Here is a 21,534-nt window from a genome sequence, read left to right as displayed (position 1 = left end):
CTCTCATGTTTCCACTTACAAGGGCACTAATTCCATTCATGAAGGTTCCACCCTCATGACCTAAGTGTCTCCCAAAGGCCCCACCTCCAAATACCATCACATTGGGGATTTAGTCTCCAACATACGAATATTGCGAGGGACACAAACATTTAGTTTATAGCAGCTCTCCTCTTTCAGTCCCATAAAGAGGAGGGCTCTGCCTTGCCATACCAATTCATTTGTGATTTTGTGATTCCAACTCACAAGGAAAGAGAGCTGGGGCAAAGCATCTGAAGCACACAAGAGTAGGGCAAGTTTTGAAAGAGACATAAAAACAAATACTGTGTGTGCAAGGGAAGTGGATGAGAGAAAAAGTGTTTAAGAGACATTGTTTGCTATGTGTCTATTTCACAGTGTTCAGCTATGAGAATTTTTTTTTCTTTTTTTAGACAGAGTCTTGCTCTGTCACCCAGGCTGGAGTGCCATGATGTTATCATAGCTCACTGCAGCCTCAATTTCCTGGGCTCAGGTGATCCTCTCACCCCAGCCTTCAGAGTATCTGAGACTACAGCTGCATGCAACCACACCTGGCTAATTTGTGTATTTTTTGTAGAGATTGGGTTTCATGATGTTGGCCAGGTTGGTCTTGAACTCCTGGAGTCAAATGATCCTCTCTCCTTGACCTCCCAAAGTACTGGATTACAGGCATGAGCTACAGTGCCCAGCCTGAGAATTTTTTAAAAGTCATTTTGAAATTGGGTTTCAGGTTCTTGCCTGTATTTTTTGAATATGGTACTGCTCTAAGACTGGAAAATGTGGACCACAGATTTATAAATACTACACAAAATACTAATCCTAAACTATAGAAATTTCTGGACAAATTTTGAGTAATGTGGGTGGTTACCTAGCTATTTTATGAAACTGCAGAATTAAAGGCCTTTATCTGTAAAAATAACCTCATCAGATTGTTATGATTTTAAAATAAAAACACCTTCACACCTCCTAGAAGACTCCAAGGTGTAAATATCCTCTTTAAATGTACCAGTAAGTAGACTAAGTCCTAGAAGAGTATAATTTTTTTTTTTTACAAATAAAGTTTATTGTACTGTTTGGGGGATGGTATATTTATTACTGCTAAAAAAATTACCATTTTGAATTGCTAATTGGCTATAACAAAGATCAGTAATACAAATTTAAAACATTCATAAAACTGAGCTGAAAACATGCTCCCAAGCCTAGTGGGCAGTAAGGAATCTGGCCAATATACTGTACAACTTGAACATTCAGTTCTTAAGTAGTTTACAACATGGTTTAGCCCTCTTTTAATAATAATAATAAAAAGGTAGGAATATCTTGTATTCCTCCCGCTAGTTGGATGTATTAAAGTGCTTTCACAAAACTAAGACCATGGTGTTAACTCAATATAAAAGGTTGAAAAGATGTTCCTTCTTTTCTTCAGAAAGTTAATGTTCCCTCTCCATATTTGTATTTGCTCAAAGATGAAGCTTTGCATCTGGGAAGTCCTTGAGTAGAGTGTCTCAGAAATAGAAAGCCTGGACTCTCAAGGCTTCATTCCTTTGGCCAACATCTTTGGAGCCTCTCCTTTATGCAAAACACAGTGGCCGGTGCCAGGGCAGCACACAAGCGTCCACAGGAGGCAGGCCCTGCTGTGAGGGGCCAGGGAAGGGCCCAACTAGGAGTGCCAACAACCGCCTAAAATACAGCAGGGCGGCTGCACGGTTAACGTGCGTGTAATTGACTACAGCAAGAAGGATGAGGATCTGTCCATAAATGCCAAGTTCCCCTTCCCGTCGAGTCCGTGTCCCCCATGAAGCCCCGGGTCTAGAGAGCTGGGTCTAGAACTCGCCATTCCGCCCTGAGGGTGTCAAGTGCAGCGTGGAGAGACCTGAGGGGGAAACAAAAAGGCCGAGACAGCCGAAAGGACCAAGCCCGCGCGACCCCCGAAGGCGCTGACGCACGTAGGGCGGCCGGGCGGGGGTCCCACAGGCCTTCAGCGCCGCTTTTTGCCGGGGAGGGAAGCCCGCGGTTCTGCGGACCGCGCCGTCGCGGTCGAGGGTCTGCGCCAGGCTCAGGGTAGGGCGAGGGTGTGTCGCCTCCCGTGCGGCTAGGCCCGGGGCTCGGGGGTGGCCTCGCGGCGAAGCCCCGCCCCCGGCACCGCCCCTCAGGCGCGCGAGCCGATCCCGCGCGCGCCAACCCTTTCCCGGGTCATCGCCCCTCCCCTCTTCCGGGCCGCGAGCCCCCTGCGCGCCGCTTTGGGGCTGCGCTCACTCGTGTGCGCGCTCGTCCGCCCGCCAGTCCTCTCAACGCGCGCTTGGCCGCCCGACGACGCGGGAGCCGCACGCGCCGGACGAGGCTCGCTGCGCTCCCTGTTGCCCAGCGCGGGCCCGTTGAGGCGGAGCCCTCAGTTCCCGGCCAGGACACGGTCTGGGCCGCCGAATCTCCGGCCGAAGAGCGGCGGCGGCAGCGGCGGTGAGGAGACCGGGCCGGGGAAAGGCAGACATGGCGGGGCTGTGGGTATCGGGGGAGGGTGGTCCCGTCGCCCCTGCGGCCACGTCGAAGGCTCGCTGGCGGGCGGCGCACCGGGGACAGGGGAGGGGCAGGGGATGGAACCAGGTTGCATGGGCTCCGGCTCGGCGCCAGAGCGGGGCTGCGGGCCGCGAGGGCGGCCCGCGAGGCTTTCCGCGGGACCCTCGGCGGGCGCCTGAGGAAAAAGACGCCGCCTCAGGGCTCCTGCCACGTTTCCCACAGCGCGTTACATTCCGCCTCCGGGTGGGCGACAACCCCGCGGCTTCCCACCCTCTGTCCACCCCCTTCGCGTCGGTGTTTTTTCTGGAGCTCCGCTTGTTTGCTGGAGAGTCGCGCCTCCGGGAAGCCGGGTCCTCGAACCCAGGGCCGCCCGCCGGGGACAGCGGACCCGCGGGGCAGGCGCACCCTGGCGAGGATGTTGTCGGGGAGGCTGGGCATTGGGCGCCAGGGCCCTTCCCCTTGAACTTGGGGAAAACCGGGATTGCAGAAGTTGGGCGCAGCTCAAGGCGGTTCTTTCAAGAGCGGGTGGAGATGTTTGATCCCTCCTCACCTACCTCTCTCAAAACCCCAGCGGGAGAGCCTAGCAGCAGGTTTCGATGGCTTCAGAAAGTCCAACTCTTAGCCCCTTGGAAAATTATTTCCCCTCTTCATGGCTTTGTGGCGCCGCTGAGGTCGGGCCGGGGCTCCTCACCCCACGGGCCAGTCTTCTCGCGCCCTCCACCTTGGGAACGTCTATCAGGAGAAAAATGTGTTCCTAGAAACGTTTGCGATTAGCTTTTCGTTACAAGGGAGGGAAAAGTACAAAAGTTATAAACTCCTGCGAGGCCGAGCTTGATTCTGGATTCCCTTTGGGTTTTATCCACGCAGCCGTGAGCAGAGGAGCCTTGTGGAACAAAGTAGAACTTGAGGAGCAGCCGCCGCGGTGACGAGGTCCCAGGATGACGTCACCGTGCGATATTTAAAATGGGAGCCTTTTGCTCTGAGTGTGGGTGGAGGACGCCTACTTACTCAAGACGCCTGAGGTCTTCTTGGCCCTGCTTGCCTCTGGTGGTTCTTGCCCTGACTGTAACTCTCCCTCTTTCACCTTTTGGTACTCCTAGAATACTGGTGGGAGTGGGCTTATTTTTCAGCTGTTCGAGCTATCATTTCTTCAAACGGGGAAAACAAAAGTCCAAATGAGTCATCTTGTGTTACAACCAAAAGCAACCACTAAGTGGTTCTTTCCTTCTTTTCTATTTTTTTATATGAAGCAGAGCAAACAGAAACAAATCCAGAACTCAGATATGTGGCACATAGTTGGCAAATGTAATGAATGAGGAGAAAGATCTAGTTAAAAGATTCAGTACATTTCTTTAGTGTGGTTCCTTGTTTGCTTTGCTGGAGTGGAGGCTAATGTAGTTCCATCAGCAAAACTTTCTTCCCAACCCGTATATTAAATTGCCTTGGGTTTTCTTTTCCATCGTATCGTGGTGGAATATAAACGTAGCTTTACAAAGTGGAAATGGCTTACATTTTTCAGGAGGAGGCTGCACAGCAGTCGTGGTGGGCTGGGGTTATGTATACGTGTACACTCGTGTGTGGACCCATGCCCGGTGCCTGCTAGCTGGCTGTAGAAGGTGAATTTCTCATTCTAGGGTTCTGGGAGGAAGATTTGTGTGCCTTCCCCTCCATCAGGCTATCTGCGGCTGCCAGCACACCTCTCAGATAACTGTGTAGAATTTATTTCACAGTGAGGTTCCTTGTTTGAATTTGCACTTGGAATAAAGGAGTCATATTCTGAAGAGAGACTGAAAGAGCAGTTTGAGAAAAGAAAGCTAACAATCAGCTTTATTTTTTTGGAAATGTGGGAACACAAACTACTGCTAGGTTAGTTGTTTTTATGCTAAACATAGCAGAGGCTGTATGTTTTTAATACGTAATTGGCTCCCAAAAAGGTGATGTTGCTTACTAAAGGCAGCATCTTAATAACTCCAGGTTACAGCAGCCAGATGAATGAGCTCACTGAGTAGAGACAACATACATCAAAACAATCTTAGGACAAGGGTTTGCCCTTAAGGATTAATCAATGATAAATCAGATATACCATTTTTAAAGTCCTTTGAGGCAATCCAAAATGTAGCTAAATCTCTGATTATTTCTTTTAGTTTGTTTTTCTGCGGGTGACCTGAATTTCCATTTCTTAAATATGTCCTGATAGATCCACTAGTTTTTGTGTCTCTTAACTTGTGGATAAATGTATCTCTCTTCCTGAAAGAGTACTTTCGGAAAGTCAATGCTGAAATTTTTTATGTAGAACAGTTTTGGGATTTAATTTATATACCATGCAATTCACCCATTTAAAATGTACAGTTCAATGGTTTTAGTATATTCACAAAGTTGTACAACCATTACTATAGTGAAATTTAGTAAATATTTTTATCACCTCAAAAAGTAACCCTGTACTTATTAGCAATGCTCCTTTTCTTGGTTTCCCACTTCCCCGTAGGCCACTAATCTGTCTTCTGTCTATATAGATTTGCTTATTCTGGATATTTCATATCAATGGAATCGTACAATATGTGGTCATTTGTGACTGGCTTCTTTCCCTTAGTGTGATGTATTCAAGGTTCACCCATGTTGTAGCTTATATTAGTACTCATTCGTTTTAACTGCTGAATAATATTCCATTACATGTATATACCACAGTATTTGTCCATTCCTTAATTGGTAAACATATAGATTGTTTTTACTTTTTAGCTATTATGAATACTGCTGTGGGCATTTCTGTGTTCAAGGTTCACCCATATTGTAGCTTGTATTAGTACTCATTCCTTTTCATTGCTGAATAATATTCCATACGTGTGTATAACACAGTATTTGTCCATTCTTTAGTTGGTAAACATATTGTTTTCACTTTTTAGCTATTATGAATACTGCTATGGGCATTTCTGTACAAGGTTTTGGTGTGGACATATGTTTTCATTTCTCTTGGGCAAATAGAAGTAGAATTGGCCGTGTCATATGATAACTCTGTGTTTAACCTTTCTAGGAACTGCCGAACTTTTCTGTTATAAAATAGCTCTACAGTTCTAGATTTTAAAGTAGACTTTTTTTATGTTTTAAAGTTCAAATCATTTCACAGAATTTTAAACTTAGATTATTGCAGCTAAATATTGACACACACAGTAACATCTATGTCGTATCATTTATTATAGTGCTTCTCTTTTACTGATAGGTGTGGTTTTATTTTAGCCAACAGGAGCAACGTGCTATCTTTATGGAATTTCTTCATGAAGCTAAGTGATAAGATTTTTAAGTAGTATTTTATAATAAGGCCTTTATGGCATAAAGATAAGTAGATTGTTCTCTACTTCAGATATAAGCCAAAGAAATACAAGATAAAATTGGAAGGAGGAAGGGGAGAGCTGTAAAGGAGGTATATCTTACAGAGCTTCATCTTCCCAGTTTTTATATTTTGTTTTTCTGAGAAAACATGTTTTATCTTTGCAGGGAAAAAAATGAAGAATGAAATTGCTGCCGTTGTCTTCTTTTTCACAAGGCTAGTTCGAAAACATGATAAGTTGAAAAAAGAGGCAGTTGAGAGGTTTGCTGAGAAATTGACCCTAATACTTCAAGAAAAATATAAAAATCACTGGTATCCAGAAAAACCATCGAAAGGACAGGCCTACAGGTAAAGGATTAGATTGGATTAAGCAGAGGCTGATCAACCCCTGAGGTGGGTTCAAGGCCGGATGATTGAAGGGTGTGCAGACCATGCCTACAGGTGTTTCATCTGCAAAATATAGAACTCTGGGGTGTTTGTATATTTTCTCCTTACTCATTTTAAAACAAGTATTTGTTGGCGGAGTGGTGGAGTCCCACTGCCTGGACACAGGAGGCCAATGCTATGGGGTCAAAGGAGTTAGTCTTTTGTGGTTATAGCCTGGCTCCTAACAGTGCATTTCTGTTTATCACAAATACTTAGGGATTTTCACAATTCTAGAGGACCCCTAATAACACATTAATGGGCATGGTAGGAGTTGAAAGAAGTGAATCTTGCATCTAAAAGTAAATTACATGTTATATGTTCTTTGAAAAAAAAAAAAGTATGGAAAAAGGGAACTAAGATTATCAGACACCTGATATGTCGTTAATACAAGAATAATCTCATTTATATATTTGTGGTAGAAGTCAGTGTAACTATTTTCTAGATGAATGTGACTCACCTGTGATCCACGACTAGTAAATAATGGCTCTGGGATTTGCTTTTCTGGGAGTTTTTTTTTTTTGTGGTATTGTTTTTGCTCTGTCACCCAGTCTAGAGTGCAGTGGTATAACCATAGCTCACTGCAGCCTCAAACTCCTGGGCTCAAGCAATCCTACTGCCTCAGACTCCAAAGTAGCTAGGATTATAGACATGTGCCAACACACCAGGCTAATTTAAAAACAAATTTTTTTTTGTATAGATGGGATCTTGCTGTGTTACCCAGGTGAGTTTCAAACTCCTGGCCTCACGCGATCTTCTCCCTTTGCCTCCCAGAATGTGAGGATTACAGGCGTGAGCCACCATGCCTGGCCAAGGTTCTGGGATTTGAACTCAGGTCTACATGACCCCATGTTTTCATGGGCTTTCTGCACACCACAGTGTTACCACTGTTTTGGCACTGAGAACGAAGGTAATTCTCACTTGGAGCTGTCTTTTGTACTCTGCTGTATAAGGTACATTTACAGCTTAAAGTAAAGAAGAGCAGACTCCTATAAAACATGCCCTGGCATGCTCACTGTAGTATTTATGTGACTGCTCAGGAACCTCAGTTGAGAATGTTCTGCTAAACTCAGCTGCCAAACATTGTCCCATTTTGTGGATGTGGCCACGAGAAATAAAAGTGGAACAGTGACTATAGTGATAACTACAGAAATACTCTTTTATTTGTGTATATTGATGTCCCCAAAGTTTCCTACACAAATCAACACTTTGTGCTTTGATGTCAGAAGGACTTCCTTTCTGCCACTGGGCTCTTGCAAGTACAGCACTATTCAAGGAGTCTAAAAAGGAGGTAAACATATTATTTGCTAATTTCTCATGTACTGAAAGTCAAGTGAGCTTGTGTTCTATTGACAAGAAGAGAATCAAAATAGTTTATTTTCCTTTTCATTTTTAATCCAAAGAGGTTTCCAGTAAATTGGAAAATGAATTAAAATAGAAATGTGCACGCTAACACAGGCTCAAGTCATTTTTTATCTTATCTCTTGATTATCTTAATTTTTTTTTTGCATATTTTCATTTCCAATAGAGTGAACAGCTTTCGTTAAGTTAGAACTGTTGAGGCTTTTTACTCTGATTTAACTGACATTGGATGAAGGCTTTTTGGAAGTGCCAAGCCACCATACTATTACTGAAAAAGGAGGCACTGTCAAGTAAATATTTAAAGGTCAGACAGTGTACAATTTCATTTCCATTAATTCTAAAAACTTGAGAAAAAAACTGAAACGATTAAATTGGCATGTGATCAGAAGTATCATTACTGAGTCATTTTAAAGCTGTATTTGAAGTAGAAAAAATAGTGGGTTGTTACTATTATAAAAATGAATAGAATATAAGATTAACCAAGTTAGTAGAGACTTCAGTCTGTAGAATAGGTGGAGTGTTCTTTCTCTTACAAAATGTTTGTAAGTTGAAATTGTTTTTCTGCAATATAAATAAGATACTTGTAGAGAGCAATTTGGCAATATTATCAAGATCTATAAAAATATTCATACCTTTTGAACAGTAAGTCTCCCAAGAATCTATTCTAGAAGTATAATTAGAAATGCAGACGAACATGTATGAATATGGATGTCTCTTACACTTTGTAATTGCAAAAATGGAAAGAACTAAACTGTCAACATTAAGTAAATGATAGAATATTTTTATGCAACTTTTAAAATTTTGTTTTTGAAGAGTAGTTAATGGATAAGTAGTATGTAGAGTGAAAAAAAATAGTACAAAACATGTAAGGTATGCAGATTTTGTTGAAGCATAGTCTCTGTTTAAGCATCTATATTTATATATAATTTGTAAGCTTAGAGCCTGTATCACCTTAATTGTAGATAAGAAAAACACATACATCTAAGATATATCTTTTTATCCTTAACTGCTTTTGGTCCCAGAGCACATGGGATCTTTCAAATTACCCTATACAATATTAGAATCTATAGCATAAGACCATGTTTTTAAAAGGACTAAGCAGTATTTTACATACTAGAAAATAATTTTTCTCACTTTGCCTTTGTTATATTGTTAATGGTGACGCTAAGATAGGTACGTATATACAGGGTTGAGTATTAAGGAAATAACTTGCTCTTTGGAGTCTAGTGGCCTGGATTTGAACCCTAGATCCATCACTTAGTAGCTGTGTAATGTTGGGAAGTTACTCAAACTCTCTCTGCCTCCTTTTTTCTTTATGCTGAGGAAAAAAGTATCTAACTCACAGGATGATCATGAGAATTAAGAGTTAATACATGCAAAGCATTTAGGAAATTGTCCATTGCATAATAAATTTTTTAAAATGCTTATTATTGTTAATATTATTATGTAGAAACACTTATTCCTATTACCTGTTGAGAACTTTTTCATTTTTTAAATAGAAATTAAAACCAACTAATAATTTAACTTTTACAAAAACTTTAAATAGCACATTAGTCTTTATATCATTGTATTTTACAGCGTAATTACTATTCATCAATTAACTTGTATTTCCATGTTTTATAGTTACAGGTCTGAGGAAGAGGTACAGTGACTTAACTAGGCTTACCTGATAAATACTAGGATTAGTGCTGAAATCCAAGTTCTCTTGATTGATTCTTGATTGTAGGCAGTAAATACTTTTCCTTCATAGGCCCTATTTCCCTACTTAATCAGAATGCTTATCATTTAACAGAATGCATATTTTTTATTTATTAAACATTCCATTAGGTAGATGTCGTATAATAGGTTAAAAAAAGATGGGACAGAGGCTTTATTGGTTTAGAAATTTTCCTCACTTAATTTTGACAACTATTTAAATAAAAGTGCTTGGGTAAATAGAAGTTAAATGAAATAAGCCAATAACATGTTAGTTAGGTATTTTAATCATAAGTATATGATATGAATGAATCTGTGTCCTTCACTTATCCTGTATTTATAGAACAATTATAGGTAAAGCAAGGGTGTCCTCTTACCACTTTACTATCTGAGATATAAAAGCAAGTTAATGACAGATCAGAATTTGTCGTAAGCATTTCCAAATACCATCTGAAACATTAGATGAGGCCTTTTGTTAGAGATTTTTTTGTATAGGAACTTGGCCTATAGAAACTTTTACCTTCAGAGTTCTAAAATTTCGTGCAACTTTCATACTCCGTGCTCATTTAATGTACATGGGTGGTCAAGTCTCTGGGTAGACTGAGGTAGACCCAGTACTAGTGATTTCCTTGGGCTCACATAGGTGCCATCTTTTTTTCAGGCTGCCTCTGTGCCTGTAGTTCACATTTATTATCTGTTTAGGATAGATATGCTCCTAGGTTCTCTACCAGGGTATTTTTTTATTACTATTTTATTACTCACCTTGGCAAGTATGAATAGATATTACGGCGTTTATGATTAAATTCATTTAAATCCATTAACGTAACTCCACTTTGTTGTAGATGTATTCGTGTCAATAAATTTCAGAGAGTTGATCCTGATGTCCTGAAAGCCTGTGAAAACAGCTGCATCTTGTATAGTGACCTGGGCTTGCCAAAGGAGCTCACTCTCTGGGTGGACCCATGTGAGGTGTGCTGTCGGTGAGTTCTCAAGTTTAGAGGCTGAACTGATGACCATGCTGGAACTAATTTTATGACATTCTGTCATGTACGGCCTGCCTGTGTATCTTTATGGCCAGGAGCTGGTGGTTTAACTCTCTCAGATGTAAATTTTATGAAATACTTTTCTGGAGGTGATGTTGAAGGACTAGTTAGATTTCTGCTTTATAGCCGAAAAAAGAAACTGATTAGGCGGGGGTTTTCTAGTAGTGCTTTGCCAAGAAGCTTATTGTAGACCAAGAAGTAGACACCTAGATTCCGCTAGGTGTCTATTATCTTTAATTGGTGGTGCACTTGTCTGTCTTCAAATTAAGAAGCTAATCCCAAATAATACTGGATAACCACTTTTGGTTTGTTTCTGTTTCTGTTTATTCTCCCTCTCTCCTCTTTTTTTTTGGGACGGAGTTTCACTCTTGTTGCCCAGGCTGGAGCGCAATGGTGCATTCTTGGCTGTCTGCAACCTCTGCCTGCCGGGTTCAAGTGATTCTCCTGCCTCAGCCTCCTGAGTAGCTGGAATTACAGGCGCCCACCACTGTGCCCGGCTAATTTTTTTTTATATTTGTAGTAGAGATGGGGTTTCACCATGTTGGCCAGACTGCTCTCAAACTCCTGACCTCGTGATCCGCCCGCCTTGGCCTCCCAAAGCGCTGGATTACAGGCGTGAGCCACTGCGCCCGGCCTCCTCCTTTTTGATTATGTAAGTGACTGAGTGATACTTCGTGGTTTTATTTTTATAATGGAAGTTATTTTTCACATCTCCTAATGAATAGAGTTGTGAAAGATCAGTGCTAGGTATGAAATCTTTTTGAACTCCACTTGCTCAAAAACCATTATTTGTGGACCAGGCACTCTCAGTTGTAGGGTTTTCAAAAACGAAAGCAACATTCTGCTTTTAGGTAATTCAGTTTGAAATTGAGAAGAAAAGTAAGCAAATTACATTGTTATCTGATTTATGTTAGAAATGTGTACAAAATGCAGTGGTAGGTTGCACAAAGTAGAAAGTTACTGCATCTGGTGAGGAGTCAGGAGACTACTGAGTAGGTGATACTTGAGCTGGGAGGTGAAGGATGAGCCATGGTTGACCAGGTGACAAGGTGGGAAGGATGTTCTAACTAGCAGGAAGAAGATGAACAGAGGCATGGAATTCCTGCAAGAATTTTCCTGTGGCTCTGCCTTTAGGATGTTTCTATTTGGTTTTGAGGTACAATTCACCTGACCACCTGGCCTCTTTATTGATTGTAGTAAAGTTGCTTTTTGAAGGAACCCTAACTATGTACTCCTAAGGTGGTCGCAGACTGACCTGATTCCAGCAATGAAGGTGGAGGTGAAGACAGGAGAGATGAATTACATGATTATTCTTCCATTAAATTTTGTCAGGACCACCGCTTGAGGTTACTACCTGATTTGCCAGTGGTTGGTGTAAGTTTATTGCTTTTGGAAACCAGATGTAGGTGGTAGAGGTTTGTGATAAACATTCTCCAATACTTCTTTCTCGGGTAGAAAAGGAGCAAGCTATCTCAAATTTAGGTCTGAGAAAATAAACATTTTTAGATTCTGGGACTAATTAAGGACCTGCTTTAGGCTAGTTTCAGACTTGGAAAACTTTGGCCACTGAACCTGTGCAGAAGACCTCCATTTATAAGAAATAGCTGTCAAAAAGCTACTATATTGAATTGTTTACTTTTTAATTTGACCTGCACTTAGATCCTAGTTGGCTCCTATTTAACACACAGTTAAGTTAGTTGTGTGGTTTCTTAACCCATGAAATGTGAGAAGCAGCATTTTAAAGAGGGTTGATGAGTCAGACGCTACCAAAAAATGTCATGTGGTCTGACATAGAGGCAAAAATGAAAAAGCTAAAAAATCAGCACGATTATGTTATCACACAATCAAATAGTTTACGTTCAATATAATGATCCTAAACCATCAGGGGAAAGTTTTTATGTCCAAGGATGTTTAACAAGTTACATAATTATATAAACATTTTGGACCTATGTATTTAAAATGCTTAAAATAAGTCTCAGTACCTGAACATAAAAACTTTAGTTATACGGACATTCTACTTCAGTAGACATTTCATTACTTGATGATGCCTGGTAGGAAAAAACTGCTACTTTGCTTTCATCTTATTAATCTTAGAAAACCTTTTCATTCAGTAGGCTTCTAATTTATATGTAAATTTGCCAAAAATTGGCTCTGATGTGATTTTTTTCACAGCTAATAGAAATCACCTGCGAGTGTCAGGTGTTCATTCAATAACAGAACCCCAAAAAGAAAGACGTATTAATCGTTTAGTAGAGGTGGTTGATATAAGTTAACAGAAGAAAAAGACATTGAGAAATATTTTTTCACCAAAACTGGAAACATAGATATTTTGAAAATTAAAGCTGATCTAGCAAGTATACAATTGATCAAATATCTGAGAATCTTTAAAAATAATAACTCATTGGTATACTAGAGACTAAGATTGTAAAAAAAAATTGAGATGCACTGAGAACATTCTTCATAGTCTTCACTTACTCTGATAGAATAAAATGCTGCAAGAGTACAAAGAGTGCCATATAGTTAGAAAGGTTATCACTTCGTGATACAGAATAGAAAATAAATCTTGCCTATGATGAGAAGTTCTGAGAACAGATGCCAGCTTATCTACTCAACATATTTTACAACTTTTTTTTTTTTTGGTGATTTCTGCCATCCTTTTTTTCCCCCAATAGAGTGTTAAATACTATTGATTGTTTCTAAATAACTAAATTAGCCTTGATGTTTTATCAGTGATCATTGAAAAATGGAAAGTTTAAAAGTTGTCCAGGTGTCTACTAATTCTCCTAAGATATCGACTGCACATTGTAATGTTATAGTAGTATAGTCAGCAGCTTCTCTTACCATGAAGAGAGAGCCTTCATACCAAAATAGTACAAAGGGAAAAATGCAGAACCAAACTAGGTGTCAAAGAAATCTGAGTTAATAATGCTGATCCTTCAATCATTAGATATTTGCCCTTGGTTGAGGTTTCTGTTTACAAAGGCAGGAATTTTTCTCAAATTTCTTGCCTTTCCATTTTTGAATTTTGATTCCATTAATGGGCAAAACTGAAGATAGGCCTAAGTCATTGTTATATTAGTGTCATTAACACATGAATTAACCCTTGATTGTCTTGAAATTTGTTGAGTCTTCCAACTGTGGAGGGGACATGGAGTAAATGTGTATTGCTAAAACCTTATGCTAAGTAAACTTGAAATTAGAGAACACAAATTTTATGTTGTGAGGAACTCAATTGTTTAGGAATTTATTTTTTGTTTGTTTTGTTTTGTTTTAGAGAGAGGGTCTTGCTGTGTTGTCCAGGCTGGAATGCGGTGGCATGATCATAGCTCACTATAATTGTGAACTCCTGGGCTCAAGCAATCTTCCTGCCTTGACCTTCCAAAGTACTAGAATTATAGATGTAAGCTACCATGTCCAGCTTCTGTTTAGGTATTTTATACTACGAAGAGTCACCAGCCGTAGATCAACCACTATCTAGCCAGCTCCAGCTTCCTCGTCCAGCATATAGGAAACTAAGGCCTAGGGAAATTAAGTGACTTGCCTCTGGTGACCAAGCTAGTCAGTGGCAGAGCCAGAATGAGAAACTAGTCTAATGCCCTTTCTACCATCCCGTAGCAACTTTTTTTTTTTTTTTGAGACGGAGTCTCACTCTGTCGCCCAGGCTGGAGTGCAGTGGTGCGATCTCAGCTCACTGCAACCTCTGCCTCCCAGGTTCAAGCAATTCTCCTGCCTCAGCCTCCCGAGTAGCTGGGATTACAGGCGCACACCACCATGCCCGGCTAATTTTTTGTATTTTTAGTAGAGACAGGGTTTCACCATGTTGGCCAGGCTGGCCTCGAACGCCTGACCTCATGATCCACCCGCCTTGGCCTCCCAAAGTGCTGGGATTACAGGCATGAGCCACCGCGCCCAGCCCCTGTAGCAACTTTTATGAGGTAAACTAAAAAAGAATACAAAAGCGAAGTTATGTACTATATTTAAGTAGTATTTATAGTTTCATTTGGCCTATAGGAATGGAAGACAGCATAGCTATCTGAAGAAATAGAACTCATCTATGTGTGATCTCTGAGACTGCTAGATTTCCACATACATTTTCTTTTCTGTTTTTTTAATTTTTTGTTCTTGTTTTTTTGTTTTTTTGAGAGACAGGGTCTCACCATGTTACCCAGACTGGTCTCAAATTCCTGGGCTCAAGCAGTCTGCCCACCTAGGCCTCCTGAAGTGCTGGAATTACAGGTGTAAGCCACTGCACCCAGCCTCATGTACATTTTCAAAGGCTTTATAGCAGTTAAGCCTTTTACTTTATAATAGATAACCATTCTGATTCAGAAATAATTTGAGACGAGTGCTATCTTGAAATGAATTAACTTCAGCTAACTATTGAATCAAAAGCTTGACATTATTTCTACTTAGAGTTACTTATTTTTATCTTTTTTCAAACTTAGAATCACTTTAATTACATTTCTAACTGTATGTGTTTTGTAAGAACCGCTTAACAATATCCTTTGTCCTGATGCTAGAAATTGTTTGATAGTGTTGACACTGTGCAATCTATTTAAATAGATTTGTGGATTTCTCCTATGTCCACTGAATAAAAACTCTTGGTTTTACTTGAGTTTATTACACTATTTTCCTACAGTTCAGAATTTTTTTTTAAGTAACCAGCAGCATATGTTACATATTTTGACAACTTAAAAAAAATCAAAAATCTTCAAAAATGTTTTGGAAGAATAACAAGATTTTTTCATCTTACCTTAAAAAAAATTAAGATGAGAGGTGAGTAGTTATCCTAGGAAACTCTGAAGTAAGCAATATAATTTAAGCAAAACCTCTATATTCTTCAACAACTATCTTTTTTCTTTAATCTCAATAACTGCCTCAGTTCTCATTTTTGTGAGTATAAATAACAGGCCCCCTTTTTTATTTAATTGGGGTTAAAGTCAATTTTATAGGAAATTTCTAGTTGATCTGTGACTTGAATTACTAGCATATATGTTACATTTATAAGTACAGCTGGGGCTGGGCGTGATGGCTCACGCCTATAAACCCAGCACTTTGGGAGGCCGAGGCGGGTGGATCACCTGAGGTCAGGAGTTCAAGACCAGCCTGGCCAGCATGGTGAAACCTCATCTCTACTAAAAATACAAAAATTAGCTGGGCGTGGTGGTGGGCACCTGTAATCCCAGCTACTTAGGAGGCTGAGGCAGGAGAATCACTTGAACACCTGGGAGGTGGAGATTGTAGTGGGCCGAGATTGCACCCATTGCACTCCAGCCTGGGCAACAGAGTGAGACTCCGTCTCAAAAAAAAAAAAAAAAAAATCAGCCAGTGGCGCATGCCTGTAATTCTAGCACTTTGGGTAGCTGAAGTGGGTGGATCTCTTGAGCCTAGGAGTTTGGGACCAGCCTCAGCAACATGGTGAAACCCTGTCTCTAAAAATGTATATAAATTAGCTGAGCATGGTGGTACACTCCTGTAGTCCCAGCCTCTTGGGAGGTTTGAAGTTGGAGGATCGATCACCTGAGCCCAGGAGGTAGAGTCTGCAGTGAGTTGTGATTGTGCCACTGCACTCCAGCCTGGGCAACAGAGTGAAACCCATCTCAAAAAAATAAAAATACATCAGAATGTTTTATTGTACAACCAATTTCATTGGTACATACAAAAATGTAATCAAAACAATGGACTTTTTTTGATGTTTTAAACAATTTTTTTTTTAGGAATTAGTAGAAAGAAAATAAGGGAAAGAAAATGGGGTTATGTTTATGAATACTTAAATAGACCAGAAGTAGAAAACTGTGGTTTGCTTGCTGGCATTGAGCTGTATTAGGATATTAAATGTGTAGGGTCAAGTTCTGTGATGATTCAATCTTTGCCTTGTATTGATGGCATGTCCAGATCTCTTTGTTTTTATGGACATTTTTTGCTTTGCTGATGTGACTTCAAGATTTGTAAGTTTTTAATTTTATTCTTAGGTATGGAGAGAAAAACAATGCATTCATTGTTGCCAGCTTTGAAAATAAAGATGAGAACAAGGATGAGATCTCCAGGAAAGTTACCAGGGCCCTTGATAAGGTTACCTCTGATTATCATTCAGGATCCTCTTCTTCAGATGAAGAAACAAGTAAGGAAATGGAAGTGAAACCCAGTTCGGTGACTGCAGCCGCAAGTCCTGTGTACCAGGTAACCATGAAAACAGCTCAGTTTTAAAGGGATGTGCAGGGATTGCCAGGACCTTTCAGGTAGTCCTACTTGGCATTGCCCAAGGTTTCTGACTTGAGATTCTGGATAATAGTTCTTGCCTTTCCCCATGCTAAGGGAAAGCTGTTTCTCTGGCACGTAAATAGGCATCCTGAGTCATTTTATCAAAGGTCAGCTTCACTATACAATAACTAGGATAAATATATTTCAGAAAAATTGGCAAAAAGTAGAAAATTCATGATGGTAAAACATTCCTGATATTTTAAAATCTCATTCAAAAGTTACCACTTATTTTTTGTAGTATGTAACACTTTGTTTTGTACCTTTGGGTTTAACTTTCTATTCTCTCCCGTTCCATGATTAAAGAGAAACCTCTCTAAATTTATTATATTATAATTAATATTTTACTCAAGCTGAAACATTGTCTCCCTTTTTGCTTTACTAGTTGAAAAGTCATATAGCTAGTGTGCCTGCACTTACAGATCCATTCACTGATTTACTATTTATATCTACATACCAAAGAACATTTAATCGACTTTAAAAAATTGTTGACCAAACAGCATTCTTCAACAGGAAAGATATTTTAAAGTCATAACAATTTAAAGAGATTTTTTGAGTTGAGCCTTATTCTGTAAATGTACTTATTACTAATTTTTAAAGGTTATCTATTTTTACTTACTTGCTTTGATTAAATGTGAAACATACCAGGTTTGTGGTAAGGTTGAGCTGAAAATGAAAATTTAGACCTAATGAGTAAGAAGCAGAATATTGGAGCTTTTAGTATGATAAACTAAACTTTTAAATTCAGCATACATTTACATAATGAACATTATTTCAGTGTAACTTAATTTTTGGTTTTCTCATTTTTTTCTCAGTTGAATTATTCTTCCTAGACTTTAGGGGAAGATTATTTCTGAAGATTATCATAATTTAGGATTCTATGTATATGTGTATGTATATGTATATGTATATAACATGTACCTGGCTTTATGAAACTTCAAACAGTACAAGACAGTATAATAGTGAGAAGTCCTCTTTCTCCCCAACCACCAGTCCCTATGCATTTCCACAGAGACATTCATTACCAGGTTTTTTTTTCTTTTTTTTAGTATCCTTCCAGAGACATTCCCTATATAAATAAGTAAACATAGTATTTGTACTTCAGGATCATTTTTAAAAACCTTGCCATAAATATTTGAGGCATTTTTTTTCTCTGTGTGATGGATTATATATTGCAAATTAGGTATATTGAATTTTCTGGAATTCATCCAAATGTGTGGCAATTTTACCTCAGAATTTTATTTGTTGTTAAGCAAGAATGTAAGTCTCAAATTAAATTGATTGCTGCTAATTTTTTACAAGCAAATTAACCTTTAATTTTTAGGATTTCTTTTAAAATTAAATTGCATTTATTTTCCCTCATGTTGAAAGACTATTAGGATAACAGAAAGGTATGGAAATTGAGGTGTCTCTTACGTGCTTTTTAAGGAAAACATTTCTCCTTGGCCTAATACTCATTAGCAAAACATTTTATAATAGAGAAACACTACTTGTGTGAAAGCTAGTGCAAATGGCCCACTTTGATTTTCTTCTTTCTAGTATCTTGAATCTGGCATTGCCACAAGCTTTAAAAAAGTTTTATCAAATAAGGACAACAAAATTTCTAGCTTGGAATTTTTGTTCTCTACTGTTTTCTAAAAGGTATCCCAAGAGAGGGGATAAAGAATTATTCATATCTTAAAAAACGAAGAAATGAAGATTGTGTCAGTTCTCCTGAAATAGATCTGTAGATCCAATTCAGTATCAATGAACATCTTAAAAGGTTTTTTTCTGGAAAGTGACAAATTGATTCAAAATTTTAAAAAAGGAGGATCAGTTGGAGGGCTCACACTAATTCAAAGCTATTATATATTCATCAAGACAGTGTGGTAATGGTTTAAAAACATACAAATATATTGATGGCACAGGATAGAGAGTCCAGAAGTAGACCCACATACATACAGTTAGTCTTTTTTCTCCCTTTTAACAAAAGTGCCAAAGCAATTCAATGGGGAAAGTCTTCAAGAACTTGTGCTGAAACAACTGGATGATCTGTGTAGGAAAAAAAACGAACCTAACTTAGCTGACACCATACACAAAAATATTGATTTGAGATGGATTGTGTACCTAGACATAAAAGATAAATCTCTGACGCTTTTAGAAGAAAACATAGGGAAATATAATCTTTATTTTGTGACAGGCAAATATTTCCTCTAGAGGGTCACAAAAAGTAACTAATAAGGGAAAAAAATTGACAAACTGGACTTCATCAAAATTAATCATCTTTTTGTTCATCAAAGAAACCATTAAGAAAATGGGCAAACCATAGACTAGGACAAAATATTCTCATTACATATATCTGTAAAGGACTTATTTCCAGAATATACTTTTTTTAAAATCGCTCACAAATCACTAGTAAAAGGTAAATGATTCAATGAAAAATAATGGGCATATCCTGCTGTAATCTCAAAAAAAGGGCAGGAGGAGCAAAAGATGTGAATAAACACTTTACAAAAGGAGTTATGTGAATGGCCTCATTTATGATCAGAGGAATGCAGATTAAATCCATATGAAACACTAGTTCTTCCAGAACTGCACAATTTAAAAGCCTGACAGCATGAAATGTTAGCAAGGATGTGAAGCAGCTAGATTCATAAACTTGCTAGTCATGTAAAATAGTACCACTACTTTGGAAAACTGGAACTTTTTAACGTTAAATGTGTAACTCTTCTATTACTCAGCAGTTCCACTCCTAAGTATTAAATATTTACCAAAAGAAACGAAAATATGCCTATAAAGCCTTCTATTAGAATTAACTGTGCTGTTATTCATTGCAGCATTGTTTTGTTCGTTGTGTATCATTGTTTTTTTAATAGTAAGAGACTGAAAACAGCCTCAATGTCCCATTACTAGGAGACCATTTAATTTATAGTCATTGCTATACTATCTAGCTGTAGAAAAATGAGAAGGATCTTTATGTATTGATATGTTTCTGAAATGTATTATTATGAAATGTAAAAAGCAGGATACAATCCAGTATACATATATATTTTTAAAGTGTGTATAGATGTGGATAGAATATCTCTAAAGGTATATTTAAAAAAATGTTTGGTGTCAGTTGCCCTTGAGAAGGGTTAAGATAAAGAAGATAAAGGGTGAGATAAAAAAAGAGGGACTTTCCACAGTTTACCCTTTTGTACTTTTTGAATTTTCTATCATGAATGCAATGCTATACACAATATAATTTTTTTAAAAAAATCCTATACTTAGAAATGCAGATTTGAGATCAGCAAAATCAGAAATTTAAGAAGATGTGGCATTCTAAGCAGAGAGGTCTAAAACTGCTGATAAGAACACTTTGAATAATGTGAACCTGACGTGCCCACCTGATTTATGGGATAATCTAAAACTATTATTCCCAAATACTAAACTGGCTACATCAGAATCACCTGGGGAGCTTTGTCAAAATACCTGGCCTCTAGTTCTGAGATTTTATTATTGTTCATTAGACCAGTGCTAGGGCATGAATGTTTTGTGTTTATCTTTTTTTTTTTTTAACTTTTATTTTAGGTTTAGGGATACACATGAAGGTTTGTTCCATAGGTAAACATGTGTCACAGGGATTTGTTGTACATATTATTTCATCACCCAGGTGTGAAGCCCAGTACTCAATAGTTATCTTTTCTGCTCCTTTTCCTTCTCCCACCCTCCCCTCTCAAATAGACTCCAATGTCTATTGTTTCCTTCTTTGTGTTCATAAGTTCTTATCATTACCTCCCACTTATAAGTGAGAACATGCGGTAGTTGATTTTCTGTTTCTGCATTAGTTTGCTAAGGATAATGGCCTCCAGCTCCAATGTTTTGTATTTAAAAGCCTCCAAGTGACTCCTGGCTTAGCCAGCTGTGGAAACCACTGGACTAAAACAAGCATGTCCTTACAAGCTTCCATTCGTTCCATGTTTTGGTCTTTTTTGGTTGAAGTTGTTTAGGAAGTACTGTGTTTGAGTTTATTCATTTCTTTATGCATTCAGAAAACATTGGTCACCTGTTATACATTATACGCCTATTACACATGAGGTTTTTAATGTATTTAGACCTGACAATAGGAGTGTCACTTAGATGTGATCTCAGTGTTGTGGGTAACTTTGTTTGTCTTTAATGAGAAATCTGGAACATAGATGATGATTTTTTCCTTTGAATTAACTTAATGTGTTCTCTTCCCTACAGATTTCAGAACTTATATTTCCACCTCTTCCAATGTGGCACCCTTTGCCCAGAAAAAAGCCAGGAATGTATCGAGGGAATGGCCATCAGAATCACTATCCTCCTCCTGTTCCATTTGGTTATCCAAATCAGGGAAGAAAAAATAAACCATATCGCCCAATTCCAGTGACATGGGTACCTCCTCCTGGAATGCATTGTGACCGGAATCACTGGATTAATCCTCACATGTTAGCACCTCACTAACTTCGTTTTTGATTGTGTTGGTGTCATGTTGAGAAAAAGGTAGAATAAACCTTACTACACATTAAAAGTTAAAAGTTCTTACTAATAGTAGTGAAGTTAGATGGGCCAAACCATCAAACTTATTTTTATAGAAGTTATTGAGAATAATCTTTCTTAAAAAATATATGCACTTTAGATATTGATATAGTTTGAGAAATTTTATTAAAGTTAGTCAAGTGCCTAAGTTTTTAATATTGGACTTGAGTATTTATATATTGTGCATCAACTCTGTTGGATACGAGAACACTGTAGAAGTGGACGATTTGTTCTAGCACCTTTGAGAATTTACTTTATGGAGCGTATGTAAGTTATTTATATACAAGGAAATCTATTTTATGTCGTTGTTTAAGAGAATTGTGTGAAATCATGTAGTTGCAAATAAAAAATAGTTTGAGGCATGACAACGCGTGTTTCTGTTGT

The 21,534-nt window shown here is 38.7% G+C and overlaps 2 protein-coding genes and 1 long non-coding RNA gene across 12 annotated transcripts in view; 1 reads left to right on the top strand and 2 right to left on the bottom strand.

Annotated features, from left to right (window-relative positions):
• Positions 1–21,534, bottom strand: part of CXADR (CXADR cell adhesion molecule) — a 123,220-nt gene that overhangs the window by 21,095 nt on the left and 80,591 nt on the right. The gene's annotated exons all lie outside the window — the stretch shown is intronic.
• BTG3-AS1 (BTG3 antisense RNA 1) lies at positions 1,054–3,482 on the bottom strand. The gene has a single exon (NR_149073.1). It is a non-coding gene; the product is annotated as a BTG3 antisense RNA 1 (long non-coding RNA).
• On the top strand, positions 2,267–21,515 carry BTG3 (BTG anti-proliferation factor 3). Of its 7 annotated transcripts, none has more exons than XM_011529441.2 (7): positions 2,267–2,469; positions 3,394–3,511; positions 6,016–6,196; positions 10,171–10,308; positions 10,892–11,023; positions 16,344–16,551; positions 20,836–21,515. In XM_011529441.2, exons 2-7 carry the CDS (start codon positions 3,490–3,492, stop codon positions 21,073–21,075), a joined length of 921 nt encoding a protein of 306 aa, XP_011527743.1. In that variant the 5' UTR covers positions 2,267–2,469; positions 3,394–3,489; the 3' UTR covers positions 21,076–21,515. The 7 variants fall into 7 exon arrangements, with proteins under 7 accessions (XP_011527743.1, XP_047296626.1, NP_001124386.1 ...); XM_047440670.1 differs by having other exon boundaries at positions 3,394–4,392; NM_001130914.2 differs by lacking the exon at positions 3,394–3,511.

Source organism: Homo sapiens, chromosome 21, assembly GCF_000001405.40.
Source record: "Homo sapiens chromosome 21, GRCh38.p14 Primary Assembly".
NCBI classification, from domain to species: Eukaryota; Metazoa; Chordata; class Mammalia; order Primates; family Hominidae; genus Homo; species Homo sapiens.
This window is presented reverse-complemented; position numbering and strand designations above follow the sequence as displayed.

Coding starts and splice junctions, on each gene's coding strand:
- BTG3 (XM_047440670.1), top strand. CDS start 4,368: ATGTGGGAACACAAACTACTGCTAG. Junction 4,393..6,015: donor GGAACACAAACTACTGCTAG/GTTAGTTGTTTT, acceptor TTATCTTTGCAG/GGAAAAAAATGAAGAATGAA. Junction 11,024..16,343: donor GCCTCCTCCTTTTTGATTAT/GTAAGTGACTGA, acceptor TTTTATTCTTAG/GTATGGAGAGAAAAACAATG.